At 47.5% G+C, this 9,360-nt stretch overlaps 1 protein-coding gene across 1 annotated transcript in view; it reads right to left on the bottom strand.

Annotated features, from left to right (window-relative positions):
* Window positions 1-1,011: 1,011 nt before the first annotated feature.
* NOMO1 (NODAL modulator 1) overlaps window positions 1,012-9,360 on the bottom strand; it is a 62,437-nt gene continuing 54,088 nt past the window's right edge. The window contains exons 29-31 of the mRNA NM_014287.4: window positions 7,954-8,073; window positions 2,079-2,171; window positions 1,012-1,655 (exon numbers count right to left, since the gene is read on the bottom strand). Coding sequence (NP_055102.3) covers window positions 1,524-1,655; window positions 2,079-2,171; window positions 7,954-8,073 — 345 coding nt within the window. The 3' untranslated portion in view covers window positions 1,012-1,523. The remainder of the gene's footprint in view (window positions 1,656-2,078; window positions 2,172-7,953; window positions 8,074-9,360) is intronic.

The raw sequence follows: 9,360 nt of genomic DNA, 5'->3' as shown, positions 1-9,360 counted from the left end.
GAGCCAGGGAGTCCCCCAAGCTGACCCCCTGGGGTGGCAGTGGCACCTAACAAGAACTTCCACCTTGTTTTCCCTCTCTCCGTTTTGTCCTTTTGGACTCTGCTCACGCATCACATCCAGAAAGTTCCCTAAGCTCTCCAGTGGGATGAGAACTCTGCTCTGTGCTCCTGTGGTCCTCCATGTTCCTCCACCTGGAGGCCCTCGGCTCCCTGCATTACCCCTGTCTACTTACTGACTTGCCTTCTACCCAGTGATGGGCCATGTGCTGTGAGGGCACACACTGTGTGCCCATCTATTCATTCCTCTGTGCGTGCGTTCATTCATTCCTTACTGAATGCCCACCAAGTGCCAAGCATTGGGGTACGAAGAACAAGGCAGACGGGGCCTCCCTGGCCTCTTCCAGCTCGCTGTAGAGTGTTGTCTACCCTACTCATCCTCACATACCCATGCCTGTCCTATGTGGCACTCAATAAATGTCGGATGGATGGATGTGTCCCCTCCTTCAATATCACTTAATTCACTTGATGACTTCCTGTGAGGATTAAGTTTAGCTGTTAAAATGCTGTGACTTCCTCTGGATCTCTGATGCAAGCCGGCAACCTTTAAGCCTCACCCGGCCGACGTAGGCATTTTGTTTGGCCAAAGTGTGTGGTTTTCTTAAAAAAACACTGCATTTGTGGCTAACATTTAAAATTGGGAAAATTTCACGTAAATCTTTGTTTTTCTGGCTTCTCTAGAAAAATGAACGCACATTTCTGCACAGCAGGGGTGAGCCAGAGCTGAGTCCCTAAGCTTCCCTTAGACGTGGTGGGCACACTTCAACTTGCCACAACCTCCACTATCTCCGATTTCTCTATCACTGACGCCAAAAGCTGCTGGGGACCATGTCGGCTGAGCTCGTGTTTTTCCTGCCCCAGCCAGCTTCACTCAGGACTCTGACTTGCTCTACATTTGGCTCAACTGAAGACCCCCGGGGGTTACGCGCATGTCATCCAAGAAATACATCTATGATGAGCTACAACACAAATGAATGGGCCATTTTATTGATTTTTACCTCCTAATAGTGGATACAGGTTGCTGTGGTTTCCAGCAGGATCTCAGATGCAAAGGGAAGTGAAGAAAACAGATGAATCCCTAGGGTACCCCGCCATGGAACCAAACACCACGTCAACTGGAACTCTCCTTGCAAACGAAGGCTGAAGATCAAGAATGACATTCTCACACCACAGCACAGCTTAAATACTTCTTTGACAAAAATAATAATAAATTATATTTGACTCAGAAAATAAATTCTGTTCAGCAGAGTGACAGGAGGGTCCATTCATTGCATTGCACGAGGGGCTCTACGGAGGGGTGAGGATGGGTGCAGGATGCCACAGTGACAAGGGACATGGGGTGCGGGCCCAGCAGCACAGGCTGAAGTTAGCTGACGCATGCTTTTGGCTTTTATCCCACGGGCGGGTAGTGGCCGGACCCCTGGCTGTGGCCTGTCCCAAGTGAGACTGCAACTGTCCCCTTCCTCCTCAAGTCCGCCTTGTCTTCTGTTTCTTGGCTTGTCTCTTTGCATCTTCTGGGCCGCTATTGTCAGAGGCTGCCTGGCCGAGCGCGCGGACTCCCTGTAGCCGGCTTGTCAACTGCAGCAGCAAAGGAATGAGCTAGAAAAGAGAGAAAGTGTGAGAGAGAGGGGTACAAAGAGGAGGCTTTTGCCAGATGAACAGCGGAGCCTCACTTCTCAACACACCTTCTTCAGACATGATCAGCAGCTGCCACGTGCTAATGGGTGGGTTTCAGTTCAAACGAGGCAGGCCTCTTACTAATGAGTCCCCAGGGATGGGCTGGCCTCTCTCCGGGCCTAATATGTCCCTAGAGGTGTTCCAGGTTTAAGGATTAGGAGATGTTACAGAAGTTTACAGCCTTGAAAGGAGACCTAAGTCTGGACTTGAGGCCTTCACGGGCCCTCCCGACCCGGAAATGTGATTTCTGTGACCCTGGACATCCCTCTGCTATCACTCCTGCAGCTGTGAGGACTCGCTCTCCCTGACATGCCCGCCATCTCCTGAGGCCTCTGGATTTCCTACCTTGTCATGGTTGTAACCGGCCAGCAGAACCAGCAGCGTCAATGGCAGGGCAATGTAGGATCCTTGTGCGATGTCCTGTTCAGGCAGCTTCCTCTGCAAACACCGAGAGCCCCATCACTCCTCACCAAGGCCACACGATTGTCCATCATCCACAATGCCACAGCCACCACCCACCCAGCCTTCCAAAGTGGCCACTTGAGGACACCCAGGGGCCCTCATGATCCAAATTCCTTCTATCCAAAGGAAGGAACCAAAGTGATTTGGATATATTTTCCCATGAATCCTCTTCTGCCCAAAGCTTCACTATTTGCTTCTGAAACTCAGGGACAAAGAGATTCCAATGACAAGGCATTCCTCAGCCTCTGGACCCTCCTCCCAACTGAGGAAATGAAGAGATGCAGCTATCAGAGAGTCTTGGTGGTTGAAAAGCAACTGGGTCTCAGTTTGTTGAGTCCCAGCAACATGCAGGGACTTAGTCCTACAAGGATGTATCAAGAACCTACAGTTCTAGACCCAGGGCACACAGTGATGGGCAGCTATTCCCAGCCAGTACGGTCTAGTGAGGAAGCAAAGCAGGCACTGCTACTAGCATCCCTGTGGCCATTCTCCCTTTCTCCCAATAGAACCCCCAACTTTTATCTGGGCCACCGACAATATAGATCACCTTTTCCAGCCTCCCCTGCAGCAGGCGCAGCCCTGGAACTAAATTTTGGCCAATGGTACAGGAACAGAAGCGGTAAGTGCCACACCCTGGCTGGACCCTAGGGAAGTGGTGTGCCCTCCCTTTTGCTGGGCAGACAGCATTTGGCCAATTGCCCCATTTTGGAGAAAAGCAATGCACTGGAACAGCGCAATGAGACAGAAGGGGCCTGGGTCCCCTGACGCCTTGGAGCTACCAGACTATCTCTGCACTGGTCACTCCTGGACACTTGACATGAGACAGACATTTCCATCTTGCTAAAGCCCCTGAAATGCTGGGTTCTAAAGCATCAAGTGAACCTATATCCCATTGGCCCACTCTACTCTCATAAAGGAAGCAAATAAATGGAAGGAGAACTTCCCAATAATGATAAAAACAAGTTAATGAGCCAGAGCAGTGTTCTCAGTGTAGGATACCGGGACTCCTCTCGCAGAGGTTCCCGAGGCCACAGCTATTTTCAGCCAATAGTAAGATGTGATGTGCCTTTTCCGCCCTCTTTCATTCGCAAGCGCACAGTGGACTTTTCCAGAGACTACGCACCCTGATGTCATCACGCCCACAGCTAACGGAATGTGTAGCTTGTGAGTTCTTGCGTTTTCAACATCTCGGTTTTAATTACTAATATGATAAATATACACAGAGATAATCCATGCAAACTCAAACTCTTTAAAATCCTCAATAATTTTTAACAGTATAAAGGGGTCCTGCAACCAACCCATCCGAGAACTGCTGGGCTAGAGAGTGACTGTGGGCGCCGCTGTACCTGGGATGCCCTTTCATAAATGAAAGAATAAGGGCAGGAACAGATTTCCATCAACAACTGCCTACTCCTGTATCTTTGGACATCTCTTAGAACCCAACCCATTTTTCCACTGAAGTAAACACTTACTTAAAAGTTTAATTCAGGCCAGGTGCAGTGGCTCACGCCTGTAATCCCAGCACTTTGGGAGGCTGAGGTGGGCAGATCACCTGAGGTCAGGAGTTTGAGAACAGCCTGGCCAGCATGGTGAAACCCCGTCTCTATAAAAATACAAAATTAGCCAGAAGTGGTGGTGCATGCCTGTAATTCCAGCTACTCAGGAGGTGAGAATCACTTGAACCCGGGAAGCAGAGGTTGCAGTGGGCCAAGATCGTGCCACTGCACTCCAGCAGGGGCAACAAAGCAAGACTCTGTCTCAGAAAAAAATAATAATGAATAAATAAATAAAAGTTTAATTCAGCAGGAATTAGAGTGATTCAGTCTAGGCTCAGGTCCCAGGCCTCACTGGGTAAACTCAGGCAACCACGTTGAGACTCAGTTTACTCAACTATGACATGGAGATCATATGAACAACACCCACTGGGGGTGGATGCTGTGAAACTTGATGAAAGGAGTATGTGAAATGCTCAGCAGGGCATGGAATACTGAGTAAAATCCAGTCGCGAGGCTGTGGGCAGTCACATCAACAAAGAAGGAAACCAATGTGCTTACAAAGCCCCCGTGAACGTGCAAAGCTGAGCCACTCATCACGCGGAGGGCAGAACGAGGTGGAAACCATGTGGCTTGAGACAAACCGCCTCACTTGAGTCCTGGTTCTGCTAACACTCAGTAAGTGACTCAATCTTTCTGGGCTTCTGTGAAAATGGGAGGAATGGCACACCTGCTCGAAGGCTTGTTGTGAGGATCAACCTGTGAGGGCCCTGTACGGGGTGGCACAGAGTGGGCGCTCTCTTCATTCAACACTTGGCCCTGCTCGGGAATCCAAGCCCCAGCAGGCATAGCTTTTTTTTTTTTTTTTTTTAATTATACTTTAAGTTTTAGGATATATGTGCACAATGTGCAGGTTAGTTACATAGGTATACAGGAAGGGGAACATCACACACCAGGGCACAGTTTCTTACATTCTCAGAAGTGACAGGCAGCAGCTACGAGGCTGGGCTGCTTGGCCACCACCAAGCAGTGTCTCCACATTCCTGCCACTGGCTCCCAGGTGTGTCCCTGAGCCCGGATGAGTTGTCTGCTAGGGGCCCCTGAGAATGTCACTGCCTGCAGCTATCAACGGCCTTCACAGAAGCCTCTCCCAGCAACTGGGGCCACAGTGCAGCCCCAAGCAAAGGTAAGTGGTTCTTGTATATGCTTATCTTTCTGGCACTTTCTTTTTTTTTTTTGAAACAGTCTTGCTCTGTCGCCCAGGCTGGAGTGCACTGGGGCTATCTTAGCTCACTACAAACTCTGCATCCCAGGTTCACAATTCTCCTGCCACAGCCTCTCGAGTAGCTGGGATTACAGGTGCGTGCTACCACGCCTGGCTAATGTTTGTATTGTTAGCAGAGATGGGGTTTCACTTTCACCACATTGCCCAGGCTGGTCTCGAACTCCTGACCTCAAATGATCTGCCCACCTCAGCCTCCTAAAATGCTGGGATTACAGGCGTGAGCCACCACACCTAGCCCTCTCCGGCACTTTCTAACCAGGTCTCTACTGTGAGTAACAAGGAAGTGTTTCCTCGTGGGTCATGAGAAAAACTCTCTTGTTCAGGTAAGATCATATTTACAGGCTCACTGAGCATGAATCACTCTTCACAGAAGCCCGGAATCAGCAGCAGAGCTCTGCTCAAGCCCTAGCACTGCTCCACGTGAGCTGGTGACCTTGGGCTGCTCACATCTCCTTCTAGGTTCCCATCTTCTCATCTCTAAATGAAAGGTAATTCCTGTCCACCTTCCATGCAGGATGGCGTTTGAAAAGCATGAAATGGTAACTGGATAGCATGTGGAAAAAGACAATCTGGAGCCATACTTCACATCTATACCAGGAAAAACTCCAAATGGATAGAGAGATTTAAATGTAAAAACAGAAACTATAAAAGTCTGCCTGAAAAAAACACAATAAATTCCTGTAAAAGCTGGGAATGAAGAAAACCTTCCTATGACTCTAAAATCCAGAAGCAATAAGAAAAAAATCAACACATTTAACATAGAAATAAAGTAAATCTTTGCAGAAACCAAGTGAAAAGATAAATGACAAATTGGGAAAAATATGTACAACAAACATTACAAAGGGTTAATATTCCTAGTATACAAAGAGCTGAAAATGGTTGAAAAAGACCAAAAATTCTATAGAAAAATAGGTTAAATAGTTCACAGAAAATACAAATGGCTCTTAACCACATGAAAAGAGAGAAATGCAATTAGAAGTACACTGAGATAATATCACTTCTCATCTATAAGCCTGCAAAAATTGAAAAATTTGACAAAATACTCTGTTGGGGAAAAAAGGGTACTCATTCACTGCTGGCGGGAATATAAAACAGTAAAACCCCCATGGATGGGAAGTGGCCGTATCAATCAAAATTCCGTATGCATTTACCCTTTGACTCAGCAATTCCACTTCTGGGAGTCTATTCCAAAGAGAGACTGACGAACACTCAAAAACATGCATGCGTAAGGCAATTCATTAAAGGGTTATGTGTAATAGCAGAAAACCAGTAACAACACAAACGCCCCTCAACCAGGGGCTAACTGAATATCCTACATGTAGTGCCAGGATCTGAATGTGTCTGTGCCTACGTAATTCATAGGTTGAACCCTAATCCATAATGTGATAGTGTCAAGAGGACACCCTTTTTAGGAGGTGATTAAGTCAGGGATTAATGCCCCGTAAGAGTGGCCTGAGGGAACTTGTTTGCCCCTTTCCGCCTTGTGGGGACACAGCTAGGTGGCACCATCTATGAAGCAGACAGCAAGCCCTCGCCAGACCCCAAATCTGCCAATGCCTTGATCTTGGACTTCCCAGCCTCTAGTACTGTAAGAAATAAATGTTTGTTGTTTATAAGTTACCCAGTCTAAGATACAAAATAGCAGCCCAAATGGCCTAAGACACACGGTATATCCACACAGAGGAATGCTGTGTCGTTATCAAAAAAGGAAAAAGGAGGATCGGAGGATATTGTTCCACTTACAGTTACATTTTTTGAAAACAATAAAGTTCTTATTCTGCCCACTGAAAAGGCCTAGAAGCAACAACCAACACAGTAGCTATGAGGCCAGATTTTTGTTTTTAATGCAGACTCCTGTGCTACACTTTCACCCCGTCAAGTTCAGAATCAGCAGTCCTGAGGCTGAGCCCTGGACTCTGTTTTTGCTATTGCTGATGTGTCTGTTTAATCATCAGGTGACAATACTGCATCTGAGCTTTAGGAATCACTAAACAATTTTATCAAGAAGGTAAAAGATACGTGTATGTTTTGTTTGTTCCACTGTTCCAGCCTATCGGATACAGGACAGACCGTATGCAACAGATACACATATTGCAAATAGTAAGGGCCACATATTGCAATGAATTAAGCGATAAGTTAAGTTTCTTTTAACCCACAGGTATTCTGTCCATCTGTTGTTGGTTTTTTTTTCCTTGCAATTTATTTGTCAAACAAATCAGGCTCCAGGTGGTTGTCCTGCATCCCTGTGGAGTCATTTGCGTGCTCCTGGGTCCTCCCTATTTCCTGTAAAGTAGCAGTTGGTTCTAGAGGTTTGCGTGGCCATGTACCATGTGCTCCCTCATGGAGAAGCACACGCCACACCAGCGATAGTGGTGTCCCTCCTCCCCCAAAATCATTCCTGAGCCACCGATCTAAACAATTACACTGCTCTTATTACCAGTTTCCTCCTCAAAGGGAATCGCAGGCATCAGTGCTCAGAAAAGCTAAAAACAATCTGGGGAAGCCCAGAATCCAGAAGGCAGAATGAGAAAGTGACCCAATGCCAGGAGCCCTTTAAATATCTGCCCTGCAACCTGCGATCTGGAGCACAGGTTGTATGGACATGCCTTCTTTCGCCACCCCATGGATTGTTTGGTTTTGTTTTGTTTTGTTTTTTTTCTTCTGGAGAAAGGGTCTCACTCTGTTACCCAAGCTGGAGTGCAGGGGCATGATCATGGCTCATCGAGGCCTCAACCTCCCAGGCTCAAGTGATCCTCCCACCTCAGCCTCCCGAGTAGCCGGGACTATAGGTGCGTTCCACCACGCCCGGTTAATTTTTGTATTTTTTGTAGAGTTGGGGTTTTACCGTATTGCCTAGGCTGGTCTGAAACTCCTGGGCTCAAGAGATCCACCAGCCTTGGCCTCCCAAAGTGCTGGGATTACAGGCGTGAGCCACCAAACCCAGCCCATGGGTTTTTTTTTAACTCCCTCTTTTACTTACCGTGGGATTAAAAATCAAGGTGATGTGTTTATGGTAGCCCACTGCGGTGAAAGAAACTTGAGGCAAGATGTAGTCATACTGGGATCTGGGGAGTGTGGAGTCCAGAAGCACAACATAGTTCTGTGCACACATGGGAAGAAGTTATTTTTACAAGGACAGCTCTGGCAAAGCAAATGAAAACTAAAACCTAACGTATGGCTGTGATGTAAAGAACTTTATGTTTTTAAAGAAATCCCCAAGACTACACATCCAAACCAAGGTTGCTGCCTTCAAAGTATCAACCTCAGCGGGCTATTCCATCAGTGGCGGGCATGTGTCCCCAGTGTCTCTGAGACTGTGGCTTCTGATAAGGCTGTCAGAGCCTGCAGCCTTTTTATGAGTACCCAACCTTGACAATTACGGTCCTCTGAGGATCTGACTTTATGAAACACAAAAAATTATTATGAGCCAATTCTGATGAGGGAGGTACGTGATACAACTGAGGATCCACAACGGGGCTGACTTCAAAGGGACGATGCTTGAGAGGCTCGTAAGCTGGCAAATCCTAAAAATACAGCATCCCTGGAACGGCACCAGGGGCAGCCACAGCTCTGTGTGCTGAGCACCGACCAGCTGCCAGGCACCATGCACATTGCATGAGACCCATCACAGCTCTGTGTGCTGAGCACCGACCAGCTGCCAGGCACCATGCACATTGCATGAGGCCCGCGGCTGCTTTGCTTTCTACCACTGGCAAGGTCGGGATCATCACCCCGTCTTATAGACGAGGAAAGTCAAGCACGAAGAGACTAAGAGTAACTTGCCCAAGGTCACTCAGCTAAGAAGGCTGCCACACATCTATGAAGGCTCTGAACTCAGGGGAAGTGTGACCCCAAAGCCCAAGATGTTTCCGCATCGCTGTAGGAAGTGACTATTTCAACACCCCTGGAGAAAGAGGAGGAGAAAATTCCGTGACAGCCTGTTTCATTATTTTGCAGCCATTTTCCACAGAGAAAGGCCAGAGTAGATCATCTTCACGGCAGGTGGTAAGGAGCCAGGAGAGGAAACGTCACCCTCTAGGCTCACACTTGACATCCTCAGGCTAAGACCACCAGAAAAGAACCAAATTCTTTGCAAAGTTTGCACTCCCCACACCAACTACAAGTTAGCTCTGTCCAAATAGAATTGATAATAAGCACTTTATAATCAGTAAATGACGGCCAGAATAATGGCTGAAAACTTCCCAGTTCCAAGGAGGGAGACATCCAGATTCATGGAACCCAAAGGACACTGAAAAGGTGGAGCTGCAAGTGTTCTACACGACACACGTTATAATCAGATTATCAAAGACAGAGAGAACGTTCAAAGCAGCAAGAGAAAAGCAACTCATCTCATTCAAGGGATCCCCCATCATGAGGAAACTGTATT

The sequence above is a fragment of the Homo sapiens genome, chromosome 16 (assembly GCF_000001405.40).
Source record: "Homo sapiens chromosome 16, GRCh38.p14 Primary Assembly".
Classification (NCBI taxonomy): domain Eukaryota; kingdom Metazoa; phylum Chordata; class Mammalia; order Primates; family Hominidae; genus Homo; species Homo sapiens.
The sequence above is the reverse complement of the archived record's forward strand: the minus strand, read 5'-3'. Positions and strand labels throughout refer to the sequence as shown.